This window comes from Homo sapiens, chromosome X (genome assembly GCF_000001405.40).
Source record: "Homo sapiens chromosome X, GRCh38.p14 Primary Assembly".
NCBI classification, from domain to species: domain Eukaryota; kingdom Metazoa; phylum Chordata; class Mammalia; order Primates; family Hominidae; genus Homo; species Homo sapiens.
The window spans coordinates 52,622,762-52,642,344 of record NC_000023.11 but is presented as its reverse complement, the minus strand read 5'-3'; the positions used below and the strand labels follow the sequence as shown (position 1 = coordinate 52,642,344).

The following is a 19,583-nucleotide window of genomic DNA, read 5'->3' as shown; positions in this document are numbered from 1 at the left end:
AAATGTAACATTCGGCTACTAGATATTGAGTGCCTTAACCTCCATGCAAATAGAGGAGAGCATACCCCAAAAGAGATAATGAAGGATTTGATTTTTCTTTCTCCCTGGGATGATGGGATCCATAAGTTGGTTCCCCCAGCCCACAAGACAGATACAAGGAAGGGTGGCTGGAAGATTGTGAGTTATGACAGGCAACATTTTTCCATAGGTTCCATGGGTATATAAAGCTCCGGACTATCTGTCTATCATGGATAGATAAAGAGTGAACATGGTCCCTTCTCCACAAATGTGTTTCTCTCCTTGTGAAGGGCTGAAGTTACACCAAGTTCTGATATGTTACTTTTGTGTGTGTGTGTGTGTGTGTGTGTGTGTTTTTTTTTGACATGATCGCACTCTGTGGACCAGGCTGGAGTGCAGTGATGCAAGTACAGCTCACTGCAGCCTCGATCTCCCAGGCTCAAGGGATTCTCGCACTTCAGCTTCCAATCTAGCTGGAACTACAGGCACACGCCACCACACCCAGCTAGTTTTTGTATTTTTTTTGTAGAGACGGCATCCACTTTGTTGCCCAGGCTGGTCTGGATCCCCTGGCCTCAGGCAATCCTCCTGCCTCAGCCTCCCAAAGTGCTGGGATGACAAGTGTGAGCCACCTCGCCAGGCCTTCACTTTCTTTAATGAACAATTATCAGAGTTTCATCTTAGAGGCAAAAGTGGCTACTGCCAGCCAATCTGAGTGTGGTGTTGGAGGGGAATCTGGCTGATTCAGATGTTTCTAATGAACTTTTAAATTAACCTACCTGATGATTATCCTAAGGCCCTTTCCGGCTCTGTGTTTTTTTGATTCAGGGTTTGGAGTTTTTCAGAGGCTTTGTTACAAAGATCATCACCTGGGCGGCGTCCCACGCTGGGTAATATCAGCACTTTGGGAGGCCGAGGCAGGCAGATCAGTTGAGGTCATGAGTTTGAGACTAGCCTGGCCAACAGGGTGAAACCTCCATCTCTACTAAAAGTACAAAAATCAGCTGGCCATGGTGGCAGGCCTCTATGAATTCCAGTTACAGTGGGGAGTGAAGCAGGAGAATCCCTTGAACCTGGGAGATAGAGTGTGCAGTGAGCCGAGATCACGCCACTGCACTCCAGCCTGGGCGATGGAGTAAGTCTCTGTCTCAAACAGCATCTCTCGCCTACAGTGATTTGACCTGTGGTCTTGTCTCCTTGGGTTTCTCTATCAGTCTGATCCCATCTACTCTATCTCCCAGGAATGCCTTAATATTTCTGGTGGACCACTGACACGTTTTCTTATTTTCCTCTACTCTTGAGAATTGACCCTTGAAAACATTTTCTTCCCAGTTCAATGGAATGTTGAGTGGGGCATGGGATCTATCTGCCATCTTGCTCCAATCATCTGGTTTTAGATATTTTATGTATATTTGTCACTATATAAGTGTATTTTTTCTCAATTTGGTTTTCTAAATGGTTAATATTGGTATGTAGAAAACCTATCTATCTATATATATAATATTTTGTTACCTTTCTGGGTGCAGCTTCCCCTGCATTTTGGCACAAGACTCAATATGTTTTATTCTCCAAAAAGAAAGTGACAGGCTGGGTGCGGTGGCTCACGCCTCTTATCCCAGCACTTTGGGAGACTGATGCTGGTGGATCAATTGAGTTCGAGACCAGCCTGGCCAAGCTGGTGAACCCCCTTCTGTACTAAAAATACAATAAAATTAAAAAATTAGCCTGGCATTGGTGGTGCGCACCTGTAGTCCCAGCTACTAGGGCAGCTGAGGTGGGAGGATCATTTGAGCTCGGGAGGTGGAGATTGCAGTGAGTCGAGATCGTGCCACAGCACTCCAGCCCAGGCGACAGAGACTCTATCTCTAAAGAAAAAAGATAAAGAAAATTCACTTCCCAGGCAATAGGTAGTTATAAAAGGATACTTTATGGACGATTTCATAGGGGAGAATGATGGAAAGAATGATGTATATATATATATATATATATACACACACACACACACACATATATATACACATATATATACACACATATATATACACATATATATACACACATATATATACACACACATATATATTTATATATATATATCCTTTATGTATATTTATATATATAAAACAGAGCTGAGCAATTCACTGGAACAATCACCAGAACTGCCTTTTTCTCCAAAAATAGTACCCCTAAGCTATACTACTACTGGTTCTTCTAGTCCTTCCCTCTATTCCACATCCTCAAATTGTCCATTTTCTTATTGGGATAATTTTCCTCTGCCCAGATCTGGGTCCTCCACAACACTTAACACTGTCTTCGAGTGTTTGAATGCCCATTGCTTTAGCTCAGATTCCCAAGGAAACAGGCTTTGGGCCATACAGGACACCTCTAGACAGACTATACTGAGAAACAATGCCTGGAATGGTGCATGGGGAGAGGAGAGGAGAGGAGAGGGAATTACGTACCTGACTCTCACTCCTGGTTCCTTTTCTTATTGGTCAAAATTTACCCCACAGGTGCAAACTCCCCTACACTTCTAGATTGCATCAACTGCCCCTTTGACAGCTGTCTAGGAAGCCAGATCCCACACTTTGAAGTGTAGTGTTTCATACAATCCAAAAGTGTTAGCAGAGGCCAGGCGTGGTGGCTCACGCCTGTAATCCCAGCACTGTGGGAGGCCAAGGCAGGCAGATCATGAGGTCAGGAGTTGGAGACCATCCGGCCAGCATGATGAAACCCTGTCTCTACTAAAAATACAGAAATTAGTTGGGCATGATGGTACACGCCTGTAATCCCAGCTACTTGGGAGGCTGAGGAAGGAAAATCCCTTGAACTCAGGAGACAGAGGTTGCAGTGAGCCAAGATCGCACCATTGCACTCCAGTCTGGGCAACGAGAGCGAAACTCTGTCCCGAAAAAAAAAGTCATTCTATTATAATTCTGATAATTGCTTTGCTTTGCATCTTACTATGGACTTGTTGGATATCTATGTGGCTGTACGCTACCCAGAGAAAGATAGAAACAGCAGTGGAGATAATTAGAAAATTGTAATGTTTCTATAAAATAACAAAAGGGGGAAATTGTAAGGTTAACTACACATAAAATTTAGATTTTCCTGTTGCCAAAAGGGAAGAAGATACCTTTTCCCATTTTCCTTTCCCTAGAGCATTTCCTTCAGAAAATTTGTGTTGGTAAATTCTTTCTTTGATATGTAAGCCTCTGGCCCTGTATATCCCGGGAATGTCTTGGACTTGAACTCCAGGCCTCAAGTGATCCTCCAGCCTCAGCCTCCCAAAGTGTTGGGATTACAGGTGTGAGCCACCATGTCCAGTCCCTAGAAAGGTCTTTCTTCAGGGCCTTGAGCCATCTCTTTGAAATGTGAACATGGAGGAAGATGACGTCCCAGTCTCCCTGTCACCAGGGGAGTTTGCCTAGGTGCCTTGCTCCAAGCTGTAAGCACCTGCTTGTCATAGAGATACGAGTTTTATTTTTCCTTCAGATAAAGGCAATTAACTAGCACAGATGGGTACTCCAATTCCTTGGTGAACTCAGGACTTGCCTGGGAGTATTTAGTTTTCACCCTTGGCTGCTGCTATACAACCAAAGCAATTAGCTACCTACGTGGACTTTCTGGTTTCTGCTACCACTTTTTTGATTGTTTGTTTTGTTTTGTTTTGTTTTTCAGATGGAGTCTTGCTCTGTCGCCCAGGCTGAAGTGCCGTGGTGCAATCTCAGCTCACTGCAACCTCTGCCTCCCAGGGTCAAGCGATTCTCCTGCCTCAGCCTCCCGAGTAGCTGAGATTACAGGTGTGTGCCACCATGCCGGGCTAATTTTTGTATTTTTAGTACAGACTGGGTTTCACCATGCTTGCCAGGCTAGACTCAAACTCCTGACCTCATGATCTGCCTGCCTTGGCATCCCAAAGTGATGGGATTGCAGGCGTAAGCCACAACACCTGGCCTCTATGACCACTTTTGGATTGTATGAAACACTACACTTCAAAGTGTGGGATCTGGCTTCCCAGATAGCTGTGAAAGGGGCAGATGATGCAATCTAGAAGTGTGGGGGAGTTCATGCCTATGTGGTAAATTTTGACCAATTAAAAAAAAAAAAAACCATGAGTGAGAGCCAGGTACATAAATTCCCTCTCCTCTCCCCATGCACCGTTCCAAGCATGGCTTCTCAGTATAGTCTGTCTAGATGTGTCCTGTATGGCCCAAAGCCTGTTTCCTTGGGAACCTGAGCTAAAATAATGGGAATTCACACCCTCACAGACAGTGTTAAGTGTGGTGGGGGACCCAGATCTGGGCAGAGGAAAATTACCCCAATAAGGAAATGGACAATTTGAGGATTTGGAATAGAGAAAAGGACTAGAAGAACCAGTAGTAGAATAGCTTATGGGTAGCACTTTTGGAGAAAAAGGCAGTTCTGGTGATTTTTGCAGTGAGTTCTGCTCAGCTCTGTAAAATGTATACTTCCTTTCTTTCCATCAGTCTCCCCTATGAAATCTTCCATAAATTATCCTTTTATAACTATCTATTGCCGGTGAAGTGAATTTTCTTTTATTCTTTTTCTTTTTATTTAGAGATAGAGTTTCTGTCCACGAGGCTGGAGTGCAGTGGTGCCACCTTGGCTCACTGCGATCTCCGCCTCCCGAGTTCAAATGATCCTCCCGCCTCAGCTGCCCTAGTAGCTGGGACTACAGGCGTGCACCACCAATGCCCGGCTAATTTTTCTTTCTTTCTTTTTTTTTTTTTTTTGTATTTTTAGTAGAGATGGGGTTTTACCGTCTTGGCCAGGCTGGTCTCGAAATCCTGACCTCAGTTGATCCACATGCCTCGGCCTCCCTACGTGCTGGGATTACAGGTGTGAGCCACCACACTCAGCCTGTCAGTTTTGTTTTGAAGAATAAAATAGATTGAGTCTTGTGCCAAAATGCATGGGAAGCTGTACCCAGACAGGTAACAAAATATTATTAACAATAATAGATAGGGTTTCTACATGCTAATAATAGCCATTTAGAAAACCAAATTGAGAAAAATTACACTTATATTGTGACAAAAATACATGAAATATCTAATAACAGGTGATTGGAACAAGATGGCAGCTAGATCCCGTGCCCCACTCAACATTCCATCAAAGTAGGAAGAAAATGTTTTCAAGAGTCAATCCTTGACAGTAGAGGAAAATAGGAAGACGTGTCAGTGGTCCACCAGAAATATTGAGGCATTCCTGGTAGATAGAGTAGATGGGATCAGACTGACAGAGAAACCCGAGGAGACAAGACCACAGCTCAAATGAGTGTAGGCGAGAGATGCTGTTTGTTTTTTGAGACAGAGACTTACTCTGTCGCCCACGCTGGAGTGCAGTGGCGTGATCTCGGCTCACTGCACGGTGTGTCTCCCGGGTCCAAGTGATTCTCGTGCCTCAGCCCCCGCAAGAACTGGAAGTCACCAGTGCCCACCACCACAGCTGGCTAATTTTTGTATTTTTAGTAGAGGCAGAGTTTTTGCAATGTAGGCCAGGCTGGTCTCAAACTCCTGACCTCAAGTGATCTGCCTGTCTTGGCCTCCCAAAGTGCTGGCACTAGAGCATGAGTCACTGTGCCCGACCAGGAGATGCTCTTTGTAGGAAAGCTTCTGAAAAACTCCAAACCCAGAATCAAAAAAACATGGAGCAAGAAAGGGCCTTAGGATAATCATCAGGTAGGTTAATTTAAAAGTTCATTTGAAATGTCTGAATCAGCCAGATTCCCCTCCAACACCACACTCAGATTGGCTGGCAATAGTCACTTTTGCCTCTAAGATGAAACTCTGATAATTGTTCATTGAAGAAAGTGAAGGCCTGGTGAGGTGGCTCACACTTGTCATCTCAGCACTTTGGGAGGCTGAGGCAGGAGGATTGCCTGCGGCCAGGAAGTTGAGACCAGACTGGGCAACATAGTGGGATCCTGTCTCTACAGAAAATACAAAAATTAGCTGGGTGTGGTGGCATGTGCCTGTAGTCCCAGGTAGTTCGTAAGCTGAAGTGGGAGAATCCCTTGAGCCTGGGAGATTGAGGCTGCAGTGAGCTGTACTTGCATCACTGCACTCCAGCCTCAGCAACAGACTGCGATTCTGTCTCAAAAAAAATTTAAAAAAAAGTAATGCATCACTGGGCGCGGTACCTCACGCATGTAATCCCAGCACTTTGGGATGCTGAGGCCATCACATCACGAGGTCAGAAGATCAACCTGGCTGGCACAGTGAAAGCCTGTTTCTACTAAAAATACAAAAAATTAGCTGGGAATGGTGGCACGCGCCTGTGTTCCCAGCGACTCTGGAGACTGAGGCAGGAGAATCGCTTGACCCTGGCAGGCAGAGGTTGCAGTGAGCCGACATCTCGCCACTGCACTCCAGCCTGGATGACAGAGTGAGACTCTGTCTCAAAAAAAAAAAAAAAAGTAATGTATCAGAACTTGACGGAACTTCAGACCTTCACTGTAATAATGAAGGAGAGAAACACATTTGTGGAGAGGGGACCATGTTCACTCTTTATCTATTCATGATAGACAGATAGTCGGGAGCTTTATATACCCATGGAACCTAACGAAAAATGTTCCCTGTCATGACTCACAATCTTCCAGCCACCCTTCCTTGCACCTGTCTTGTGGGCTGGGGGACCCAACTTACGGATCCCATCATCCCAGGGAGAAAGAAAAATCAAATCCTTTAGTATCTCTTTTAGGGTATCCTCTCCTCTACTTGCATGGAGGATAAGGCACCCAATATCTAGTAGCTGAATGTTACATTTGTGTAATACAGAATGATATTGGGATAAAACAGAATGTGTTTCCTCTGAGACACAGGTAGAGGCACGTCCACACTGACCTGGGTGGCAGCCACCTCTTCCTGCAGTGCCAGGCAGGGCATGCTCAGAGATCTGGGGAACCTCTGTTGCTCCTGGAGCCCCACAACCTCCTTCCTGGCATCCTCTCCCTCTGGTGGCTGTGACAGCCCACACTTGGTCTTGGGTATCCCCTGCTTCTTTGCCTGCCCCTCTTCTGCCCACCCTGAATATCTCTGTCTCCCACTGTCCCCACTATATCCGTGATTGCCTCTCCCTCCCCGCACTCTCTCTGTCCTAGGGCTCCTTGTCTTGGGTAAATGAACCCACAATATCTACCTTGTGACTGGGGACAGAACCCGGGGCTTGTTCACTTCTCCCTCCCTCCACCACACACGCTTGTCCTCCTTAATGTTTCTAGAGTCAGTGAACTCCAAACTCAGCCCCTCCTGCACCTGCCAGCTGTAGGACCTGTGACAAGACACCTACCATCTCTCTGGGACTCTGTCTCTCATCTATTACATAGGCATAATGATGATAGTGTCCTCCTTCTAAGGCTGGGGAGAACCAGGAGGCCAAGGTGATGGGTTACGGATGGTCAAAACAGCTCCAATCCTGCCTCCACCTGGGGCTGGTGTTTCAAGTCCGCTGTGTGTAAATGGAACCTTAATGTCTCCATTGACACACAATGGTTCGTTCTAAAATAGACTCCCCTCTGCCCTTCCCTTCCCCACAACTGTTTCCTCTCTGCACCTTGCAATGGTACCTGTGAGAAAGAACTGTCCCATTCCCAAATCATCATCTCCACCCCAGCCCCCAGGACCTTGGTTGGTGAGACCCTTGATGGGCAGTCTCATGCTTCTGTCCAGGGGACTTTCCCACTGCTGATCCCCTGCATGGAGACTAAGTGGACTCTTCTATTCCCTGGCCATCACAGGGTCTACAGTGCATGCATCTTCCTCATTCCTCCACGTTCCCCAGATGACGATTTCATCTGTGTCTCCTCCCACATACTCCCAAATGGACCATCACAGCCCTAGAACCCGAAAATTGTTCAGAGAGCGAAGGCCAAATTGCCCAACCACCTGCTACAGAATCCTGCTCCAGGACTGAAGTGTATAGTCTCTATCAAAATAAAAACTGGAGGCCAGGTGCGGTGGCTCATGCCTGTAATCCTAGTACTTCAGGAGGCCAAGGTGGGAGGATTGCTTGAGCCCAGGTGTTCAAGGCTGCATTGAACTATAATCATGCCACTGCACTCCAGCCTGGACAGAGCAAGACCCCATCTCTAGAAGAAACAAACAAACAAATCAAGAAAACGAACAACTGGAAACATCCTCCTCTAGAATGGTGGTCAGAAACATCTGTCTGCCCTGTTCCCTGATGTCTCTCCAGCACCTAGAATAGCGCTCAGCCCGAGGACACACTCATTAGGGTTTTGTTGAATAAATGACTCCTTTGACACATCAATTCCACTTCTAAGAATCTTTCTAAAGAAATATTCACACATGTGCACAGAGCTGTGTGTACAATAATGAGAGGAACAAACAACTGGGGAATGTTTGCAAAGGTTTGTTAACTGTCAGTGACTGATAGAGGGGAATCGGATGAGGGGAGTACATGCTGAACAGGAAACAGAGTGAGGGGGGCTTGACCAGGATGCACGGCAATGGGAAAAGCAGATGGGAGATGCTTATAATGGTACTTGGTGTGTGTGTGTGTGTGTGTGTGTTGTGTGGTGTGTAAATGCAGAGGAAGAAGTCTGAAATTAAACACTCAGGACTGCCCTCAGTAGTCACATCTGGGGAGAGATGAGGATAGTGCTGTTCTATGCAGAGAATACATGACAATACTTGTTTTCTGACGTAGGTGCATGGATACACAAACCGAAATATGCATTAAGTATGTCTTGCTCATCATTGAAAAGGATAGTATCTAACAGAATGGCACAGTGTAAGAAAATACAATGGAAACACTAACATCGAACTCTTGGCACACTAAGAAAAATGACGCTCAACTTTTCACTGTTGTGAACACTTGCTTTCACTTGCTATGCACCTGATGACGAGGGTCCGCAGCCATGCCCATGTTCGTGAAAGGTCACCATGTTCTGCTTCTCATCATGGGCATGTGTCATATCCCCCAGGCTGAGGCGAGAAGAGAGAAGGAAAGTAAGTGACAGCGAGTTCCCACTGCCCAATAACTCAATCTCAACTTCTCCAGACCTGCAGACCCTGCACACTCTGATTCTGCCCTACCTCAGGACCTGGACACGCCTTCCATGGTTCCTCGAAGTGAACCATCTGCTCATGCCACAGTGACTTCCTCGCCTGGGTTATCCATTCCTAGGCTAGAGGAAGGTGTGGCCACATATCAGGGCTGACCTGGGGTTTGGGAAGCCACAGCATCCTGGGTAGGGAGGATCCCTGGATATACAGGGCAGGGAGTAGAAAGAGCATGGGAAATCTCATCATTCAGCCTCAATGCTGTACACTAGAAAATTATGAGAAAGGAATGATTTGGGAAACAAATGACAAGATGGGATACCAGTACCATAACAGAATAGCACATCTGCAGGGATGTGGGGGATGAGCCAAAGGTTCACTTACGGAGTTACTCATCATCTTCCTCAGGGTCTCTGATCTCTTCATAAATCACCAGCTGGTTTCTCTCACGCAGTCTGTGGGTCCAGGCATGTCTCCCCCTTTTGGGTCCTATGATGAAGAAGAGTTGGAAGATGAGGACTGGGTAGGTTGAAGAATGTTAGGCTCTGTTTTCTCAAAAAAAGGAGATGCCTCCCCCCTCCCAAGTGCCCATGGGCCTTCTTTATCCAGTTTTTCACATTCTCTGGCTTAAAGAGGCTGAGACCTTAGATCCACACCAATACACGACAAATACCAATTAAAGTTTTAGCTTCTGGCTCCTTCCGTTGTCAGGTTTAGATTCCCAACGTCTTCATTTACAGGAACATTCACCCATACCTCCTTTCATGCTGCACATATTTGTTAAGGGCACAGAGGCATACCTTGTTTTATGGCACCTCATTTTTATAGTGCTTTGCAGATACTGTAATTTTTTGAGGGGAATTCTCACCAATGTTACACTTTTCTGTTATTAGTGTATCTGTTATGGTGATCTGTGATCAGTGAGCTTTGATGTTATTATTGCAATTGTTTTTGTTGTTTTTTAGTCTTTAAAATAATTTTTTTTATTTTTGTGGATATACAGTAGGTGTACATACTTATGGGGTATGTGAGATGTTTTGATACATGTATGCAATGCGTAATAATCACATCATGGAAAATAGGGTATCCATCCGGTCAAGCATTTATCCTTGTGTTACAAACAATCCAATTACACTCTTTTAGTTATTTTTAAATGTATGACTAAGGTATTATTGACTATAGTCACCCTGTTGTTTGTAAATGTTTTGGGCGTAACAGGAACTCCACCCAGAGAAGATGACGAACGTAATTGATCAATGTTGTGTGTGTTCTGACTGCTCCACCGATGAGCGCTTCCCGACTCTTTTCCTTTTCTTGGGCCTACCTATTCCCTGAGACACAGCAATACTGAAATTAGGACAATTAGCAATCCTACAATGGCCGCTAACAGTTCAAATGAAAGGAAGACTTGCATTCTCTCACACTAAATCAGAATCTAGAAATGGCTAAGCTTAGTGAGGAGGGCATGCTGAAAGCCAAGATAGGCTGAAAGCTAGGCCTCTTGCACCAAATAGCCAAGCTGTGCATGCAAAGAAAAGTTCTTGAAGGAAAGAATAGTATATAATGCAAAGGAAAAGTTCTTCAAGGAAATAATAATACTAATACCCAGTGAACACACGAATAAGAAAGCAAAACAGTCTTACTGTTGAAATAGAGAAAGTTTGAGTGATCAGGATAGAACATGAAACCAGCCACAACATTCCTTTAAGCCAAAGTCTAATTCAGAGCAAGACCCGAACTCTCTTCAAGTCCATGAAAGCTGAGAGAGGTGAGGAAACTGCAGAAGAAACGTGTGAAGCTAGCAGAGGTTGGCTCATGAGGTTTAAGGAAGGAAGTCATCTTCATAACATAAAAGTGCAAGGTGTAGCAGCAAACCCTGTTGGAGAAGCTGCAGCAAGTTATCCAGAAGATCTAGCTAAGATCACTGATGAAGGTGGCTACACTAAACAACAGATTTTCAATAAAGATAAAATAGCCTTTTATTGGAAGTAGATGTCATCTAAAACTTTCACAGCTAGAGAGGATTCACTTCAACTTTGAAAGAAGTTCTAAAGTGGCTAAATGCTATCGAATAGCATCACATACTACAGAGAAATCTTTCATGAAAGGGAGAGCTAATCCATGTGGCAAATTTCACTGTTGTGTTCTTTTAAGGAACTGCCACAGCCACTTCACCCTTCAGCAACCACCACCTTGATCAGCCAGCAGCCATCAACACTGAGGCAAGACCCCACACCAACAAGAAGAGTGTGACTCACTGAAGGCTCAGAAGATTGTTAGCATTTTTTAACAATGAATTATTTTAAAATTAAGGTATGTACATTTTTAGACATAATGCTATTGCACACTTAGTAGAGTACACTATAGTGTAAACATAATGTTTTTATGCACTGCAAAACAATCGAAAAACAATGTGTGTGACTCACTTTATTGCAGTGGTCTGGAACCGAATCTGCAATATCTCTGAAGTACACCTGCATTGGGTATCAGGCATTGAGCTGAGTAAGATATGATCCCAGGTTATCACTGATAGAATCGCTTGAGCACCTTTCATGTCATCAGGCCTTCTAGATTAAATTTAATGTCTCCAAACAATTTATGAACTATGATTCTTTATTTCCATCTTATGGACTAGGAGTCTGGAGCTGAGAAAATTTGAAAGACTTGCCCCAAGTCACGTGGTTTTTTATATGGGTGACAACTCCAGTCTGTGTCTCTGGAAGTCATGTCTAACATCTCATCTGGAGCTGGGCGAGCTCCTCAGCCCAGCCTGGACCCAGACTTGTCTGGGATCCATGCCACACACCCAGTCCACACACCTGAACATAGCCAGAAAAGCCAGAGGAGTTGTTCCCAAATTGATTCCTCTTACCAGATCTCTTATTAATCTTCTCAGAAGTATTTGCTTTTCCCGGGGCGGCGCAGCTGTTTCCCATCGTTCTGTGGGCCAGATGCTTCTGACACTCCCTTCGAATCATTTCCTTCCTCTGCTGGCTTCTTGGGCATGATCTTTATAATGTGAAGGTCACAGATAAACAGAATCAGTGACATTTCTATAGTGCTTTAGAGCTTACAAAGCATCTTCACATGCATTACCTTAATCAATGTTCTCAACAATGCTGGGAGAGTTACACTTGCCTAAATAAGAGAAACCTGGGAGATTAGAAGCAAAAGGAATGGCCTAAATGAATGGGGTTTCCAGGATTAGAATGCTTATCTTCACACTTTTTTAAGACTGACATTCGTGCAAACAGCAGAAATCTCCATGTGATTGAGAGTGCGGTACACAGAAGATTTGGAGAAAAACAGCATTCTAAGAATTCACAACGTCTAAAAAAGGAAGAACTTCTATAAAATACAAGGGATCCCATATAAGCTTGTAGACAGCTGCTCAGAGAGTAAATGTAAAAACATAGAGAGGGGACAAAACACTGCTGGGAAAGATGGTGTGGGGAGATGAATACAGGGAAGGGAGAGGGAAAGAAATGGTTTGCTGAAATTTATCTAGGCAGCAAAGAAAGCAGTAACAGATATGGCATACCACCCTACCGAGGCACCAACATTGAATGTGGAATTCAGTGAGGTGGTGCCCATACCAATTCTGGTTGCATTGAGATATGTCACTGACCAACAATATTAAGCTACTTTTTTTTTTTTTTGACAAAGTCTCGCTCTGTCACCAGGCTAGAGTGCAGTGGCGCGATATCGGCTCACTGCAATCTCCTCCTCCCCTCCTCCCCGGTTCAAGTGATTCCCCTGCCTCAGCCTCCCAAGTAGCTGGGACTACAGGCAGGTGCTACCAGGCCCCACTAAATTTTGTATTTTTAGTAGAGACGAGGTTTCACCATGTTGGCCAGGACGGTCTCGATCTCTTGACCTCGTGATCTGCCCGCCTTGACCTCCTAAATTGCTGGGATTACAGTCATGAGCCACCGCGCCCGGCCCTTAAACTACTTTTTACTCAACTTCCTCACTTATGAAATAGTGAATAATACATGTAAAATAGACTAAGGGAAAGTCCTCTCTGAGCTTGTAAACGTTGTTCAAATGTAATAATAATAACAATGAATACCTTTCTGGATCCTTCTTTGAATTCGTTCTCCATACTGGCAACCCAACTCCCAGATCCCTTTACCTTCTAAACCAGAGCTGAATCTGCACTTCCAGAATCACTCATTCAGGGGCCTCTGAGGGATCCCCTGGGCTGGGACTGGGGCTTCTCGGATGCCCCAGGTGCAGACAAAACCCTTAAGGAGCTCAAGGAGGGGCCAACAGTCAAAGCGATTCCTAAGCCATGGGAGTGGCCCCGGTAACAGAAGAGAGGCCAGCTGGTCCTTCCTGTTGAGAGAGTGGGTGTCTCAATGGAAGCACCATCAGGCCCTATGGGGTGAAGCCCTAGTGAGCAACATCTGAACTTCATAAACAAATACAAACGTGAATGAGCTTTAAATGGCTTGAAGCTCTGGATTAGACTACCACTGCCACTGCGCCCCAGGAAAATTCTTTAACATCTCTGTACCATGATAGCCTCATTTTATTGTTATATTGCTGATAATTATGGTCTATAACATGAACTATTATTCTTTACTTCCACTTCATGGACTAGGAATCTGGAGCTCCAATAACTTAGAAGATTTGTGCCAAGTCACATGGCTTTTATATGGATGACAACCGAAGTGTGTGACTCATTACTATTTGGAGATAATAAAAGAAACAACATCATAGAGGTCTTCTTATGGATTAAATTAATTAATCCATGTGAACTCCTTAAAATAGTATCTGGCATCACTATGAAAACAAAAGAAGTATTAAGGATCACAACTGTTAGTATTATCAAGCCGTCGGTGCTACATAAGTTGTTGTGATAGACATGGGGAGAAAGAGGCAATGAGGGCATTTTTGATATTCTCCCACTCTTATCAGTGTTCACATCCATGAAGGGAAAAAGGTTCTCTGGTCCTTTAGATTTGAGAGGTACTCACCTTCGGGATGATTCTCTGGAGCCTGCCAAAAGTCATCTGAGGACGTTCAACTGGAAGAGAATACATCAGAATTTTTCTTTGTTGGTAAAGATTTCCAAACTCTAGAGAGACTTCTGTCGCATGAGGGCATTCTGCAGCAAAGGGGTATGAGTCCACTCATTGTTGAGGAGTTATTTGAGATTTGCTTCTGAATTATGTTTAGTAATGGTTGGTGCATTTATCTGTGGCATCAATTCAGAATTTTACATCTCATGGTTTGTCAAATGGGGGTTAAATCCCATCACAGTCTCATCTTATTCCATTACATATCTTTTACTTTTTCCCAAATAATTAAATTCATTGGTTGGGAATCTGAACTGTATCCACTCAAGATGTGAACAACTAAAAATCACTGTACACTTCAAATGGGTGGATCTTATGGTATGTGAATTAAGCTGTTAAATGTGTGATGAACCGTGGATAATTTAGTCCAGTGGCTCTGAAATATTTTCAGTAAAAAGACACTCCTTTAATGTCAAAACTTGGCAGACACTCAAGCACTGGCTTTTCAGGTCTCTTATAGTGATTGCGGGAGATGGTTGATTCTGGCCTGTTTAGTTGGGGAGTAATAGGTATATTGAGGACAGTTTAGACACTCCGACCTTGTCTTATGATTGTATTGTCAGAGCAGAAGAGCAGGTAAACACATATGTCCCCTTTATATTCCTGAAATGCACAAAGATCTCTACCGAAGAACCTGTCTTTTTTTCATCCTATGTTATCTCTGCTCACTGACAATTGGGAAAGCTCTCTGTGTGTTAGATGAGGGAGCACTCTTTCAAACTCACTTCCAAGCTCATCATGGAGAATTGGGGTTGTTTGGGAATGAGAAGACTATTTGGTTTTAATAAAGTACAGAGAAACAGCGATCTTTATTACCTAATGTGTTCATCACCCTCTCTCTTAAGATATTTATCCAATATCTACATGCTGTTAATGAAACAATCTCTGGAAGTTTTTGGCTGATCTACACTTTTAACATTTTCCTTTTTTTCACTTTTAAAATTGTCTTAACTGTCCTTTCATTCATTAACAGTGTGTAGCAAGAACAACATGTCGTTTAAAAAAGAAATGTTTGAAACACACAGAAAAGTATGGGGAATAATATCGAGTTCAGTCGCATCTCAACATTACCCCATGACTATGTTAGATCTGATTTATTTATTTAGAATGTTAGAAACACTAGAAACGGCCTGGGTGCAGTAGCTCACACCTGTAATCCCAGCACTTTGGAGGCTGAGGTGGGTGGATCACCTGAGGTCAGGAGTTTGAGACCAGCCTGGCCAACATGGTGAAACCCCGTTTCTACTAAAAATACAAAAATTAGGTGTACATGGTGGCGGGTGCCTGTAATCCTATCTACTCAGGAGGCTGAGGCAGGAGAATCCCTTGAACCCGGTAGGCAGAGGTTGTAGTGGGCTGAGACTGTGCCATTGCACTCCAGCCTGGGCGACAAGAGCAAATCTCCAGTTCAAAACAAAAACAAAAACAAAAACAAAAACAAAAACAAAAACAAAACAAAACACACTATCAACAAGTCATGACTGAAGCTGTCTGTGCAGCACTCACCAATCCCTGCCCCCGGCCCTTCTCCATTTACAGCCAGTCTCCTCAATTTGATGCCTTTTTATTCGCATTCATGTTTTCATGCATTTACCATTTACTTATTATCCATGAAAATACATATTACTGTTTTGCATGTTTTAGAATTTTATGAATAGCCTCTGTAGTTAACTTTCTGTATGCAATTTTTTTTTCACTCAACCCTGATGTGTATGAGAGAACAAATGTCAGAGGATCTTTCCCAGGTAGCTGAGCTGAAAAGCAACTGGGTTTCAGGAGACCTTTCCAGCCACTTCCCATCTACTCACCCTGAATCCTGCGGTTACGGTCATTATCAAAATAATTCCCCTGGAAGTCTGTGGCCTGTTTATTACACATGAAAGGTGGGAGGGTGACATTGAAACCTAGAAAGAAGCAAAATGTTTATTCCTTAAGGGACAAACTTAGGCCTGGCACGGTGGCTCATGTCTGTCGTACCAGCACTTTGGGAGGCTGAGGCAGGAGGATTGTTTGAGGCCAGGAGTTCAAGATGAGACTGTGTAACATAGAGAGACCCCCATATCTACAAAATATAAAATAAAATTAGTTGGGCATGGTGGCATGTGCCTGTAGCCTCAGCTATTCCATTGGCTGGGCAGAAGGATTGCTTGAGCCCAGGAGTTCGAGGCTGCATTGAGCTATGATTGCACTACTACACTCTAGCCTAGGTGACAGAGTGAGACTCTGACTCAAAAAAAAAAAAAAAAAAAAAAAAGGGAGAGAGAGAGAAAAAGACAAGCCGAGAGAAGGAAGGTAGGGTGGGAGGTGTGCTGCAATGCCACAGAGACCGTTGGGCTCATCAGAACAGATGCCTAAGGGAGAGAAAAGTGCAGGGTCCAGGTACAAGCTCCACTATGGCCAGTCCCTGCCCTCAGCTCTGACAGGATACAGAAGAGCAGAACACCCAGAAGCTGCCTTGTGATTTTTCCCTGCACAAAAGGAAAATGTGGGGTACTTTCTGCAGCCTAAGAAGTAGCCAAAGCAGGAAAAGGGATGCTCATGTATCCCCAGACTTGTCTGTTCCTAGAACTTTCTGTTACCTAGTTTAGTCATGGCCTCATAGTTTCTCTTCATATACACATAGCTGATTTTCTCCGAGTATTTCATCTTTTCCCACTCTTTCTTAGAGAAGTATGTGGCAATATCATTGAAGGCCTAAAAAAAAAAAAAGAAATTTTGGCGGCGACTCAGCTAGGTATGTCTGCCATTCAGCTGGAGCCGCTTCCTGTGTGCTGGATCTGGGAAGTGAGGATGATAATCCGTCCTGGTTGATGCCATGGCTAACTGAGAGACCATGGGGGACCTACCCTAGCTTCTCCCGTGGCACACATTAGGGCTTTAATGCTGCTGTCTGGCTCTCTTCCCACCTTCCAGAATGCACTGAGAGTTACCAAATATAGTGCAAGGTCACAGACTTGTCTCCAGGGATGCTAGGTGATGACAGAGCGAGGGTGGGAGGCTCCCAAGGGTCCAGATCTCCCCGGAGACCCTGCTCCTTGTCCCCAGTACCTCTGTCCTCCCCTCCTCAGAAACCTGGTCACCCTACTCTGTCCCCTGGACCACTGCTCTGCCCCCTCCAGGTCACCTCACCTTGCTTCTCTTCTCTGATGCTTTATCATCATCCCTGGGTCTCTTTGCAAAGGCGTCGTCTCCGTTCATGGCACCAGGAGCACTCTCACCTGCGAGAGAAACAGCCTGAGACTTTCTAGCTACAGGACCCTTGGTCCTATGGAGGGAGAAATCAGTGAAGCCCGGCCACACTCAGTCACCTGGAATTAGGGGTTGCATGTCTGCATTCGGGGCTTATCTGTCCCTGAGTAAGGACATGGGGAGAAGTCAGACGAAAACAGGGAGCCTGGAGTCTCTGGGAGAAGTATTGCTTGGGGATGACAGGTTTCCTAGCAGCCTTGAGTCTTTGGGAGGGGGTTGGCTAGTGTTGTTAGTAGTTTCCCTGGGGCTAGGCTTACCCTGAAAGATGTACAGACCCTTGTTGGGGAGGCAGGGACGTGACTGTGTAACTATTCAGTGGGGGCGTTCTGACACCCCCACTCAATAAATAAAGGGAGGGAAGTGAGTCCCAGACATAACCTGGTCTCTCTGGTGATGGATCTGATCAGGCAGAGGGTTGAGGGGTTCTGTTCTGTTGAAGAGAAATGACCTTCACTAATATGAACAGATTTAGAGGCTATTACTCGGTGATTTGTAAATTATTAGAAGGAAGAGAGCTAGAATCTCTGAGACTAGATGAGCCTGCCATCACTTACAGAAAATGTGGGGTGTTTCAATTTGCAGCAATCAGCTAGGCACAGTGGCTCATGCCTGTAATCCCAGCATTTTGGGAGGCCGAGGCATGCAGATCTCTTGAGCCCAGGAGGATGAGACCAGCCTGGGAAACATAGCAAACCCCTCATTTCTACAAAAAAAAAAAAAAATCACAAAATTTAGCTGGGGGCAGTGGCACAGGCCTGTAGCATCTCAGCACTTTGGTCAAGGGGGGCGGATTGCTTGAGCCCACGAGGTCGGTACCAGCCTAGCCAACCTAGCGAAACCCTCTACTAAAAAAAATAAAATAAAATAAAATAAAAAGTATTAGTGGGGGCGGGGTGGTGCTCGCCTGTAGTCCGGAGGCCGAGGCAAGAGGATCTCTTGAGCCCAGAAGGTCGAGGCCAGCCTGGCCAACATAGCAAAACCCCATTTCTACTACTAGTAATAACAACAAAAAAATAACATCAGCGAGGTGGTTCTTGCCTGTAGTTCCGAGGCTGAGGTGGGAGGATCACTTGAGCTGAGGAGGTCAAGCCCAGTCCGGCCAACATAGCGAAACCCTGTCTCTAGTAAAAAGAACAACAACAAAACTAGCAGGGGCAGAATGGCACACATCTGTAGTCCTGAGGCCAAGGTACGAGGATCGCTTGAGCCCAGGAGGTTGAGGCCAGCCTGGCCAACATAGTGAAACACGGTTTCTACTAAAAAAAAAAAAAAAAGAAAAGCGTGGGCAGGATGGTGCACTTCTGTAGTCCTGGGGCCGAGGCGGAAGGATTGCTTAAGCCCAGGCGGTCGAGGTCAGCCTGGCCAACATAGCGAAACCATCTGTACTAAAATAAATAAATAAATAAAAAAATACTAGTGAGGGTGGGGTGGTGCGTGCCTGCAGTCCCGAGGCCAAGGCGGGAGGATTGCTTGAGCCCAGGCGGTTGAGGCCAGCCTGGCCAACATAACGAATCCCTGTCTCTACTAAAATACCCCCCCCCAAAAATACCAGGGGTGGGATGATACAGGCCTGTACACCCAAGGCCAAGGCGGGAGAATCCTCCATGATGATCGTCCTGAAAGGCATTAGTTGTCTTTCAGTCCTCAAGATTTTCGGAACCCCAAGCACTTGACGGCCCTACAGAAGCTTCCTCCTTTTCTATCTGCCCCGATTAGCCCATCTAGGGTGTCCCTTAAAGAGAACCTACTTCAGAGACAAAGCAGTGGTGGCGAGGTCGGCAGCAGTGGTGGCGAGTTGGCAGCAGTTGGTGACAAAGTGTGGCTGGAGGAGGAGAAAATATCCTGCAATGTCACTGCTCCAGGATGATGGACCAATCAGGGCAGTTAGTGAACTCCATCTGGCCAATCAGAAGTCAGAACAGTAGGTGGGAAAAGCCAAGCTGATGTGGGGTCTATCAGTCCAGGCTCCAGGGACAGAACCTTCTCAAAATGGAGGCAGAGACTCTGATTTTCCCGCCTAAAGCATCCCCTGGGATTGGCTACTCCAAGTTCAGAGTACGCATGCTCTGATTTTCTCTTTAGATTCTTCCAAAATCAGAGTACGCATGCGCTGATTTTCTCTTTCCATTTTTCCTATCTCCCTTACCCCCCCAGTGGTGGATTGTTGTTCAGTTTTAATAAGGAG

The 19,583-nt window shown here is 45.0% G+C and overlaps 1 pseudogene across 1 annotated transcript; it reads right to left on the bottom strand.

Annotated features, from left to right (window-relative positions):
- Positions 1-8,396: 8,396 nt before the first annotated feature.
- On the bottom strand, positions 8,397-19,410 carry SSX8P (SSX family member 8, pseudogene; annotated as a pseudogene). The gene is made up of 8 exons (NR_027250.2): positions 19,147-19,410; positions 17,279-17,367; positions 16,729-16,843; positions 15,958-16,053; positions 14,048-14,097; positions 11,938-12,074; positions 9,450-9,554; positions 8,397-8,987 (listed from the first exon to the last, which is right to left on the bottom strand). The product of NR_027250.2 is annotated as an SSX family member 8, pseudogene (transcript).
- Positions 19,411-19,583: the final 173 nt, after the last annotated feature.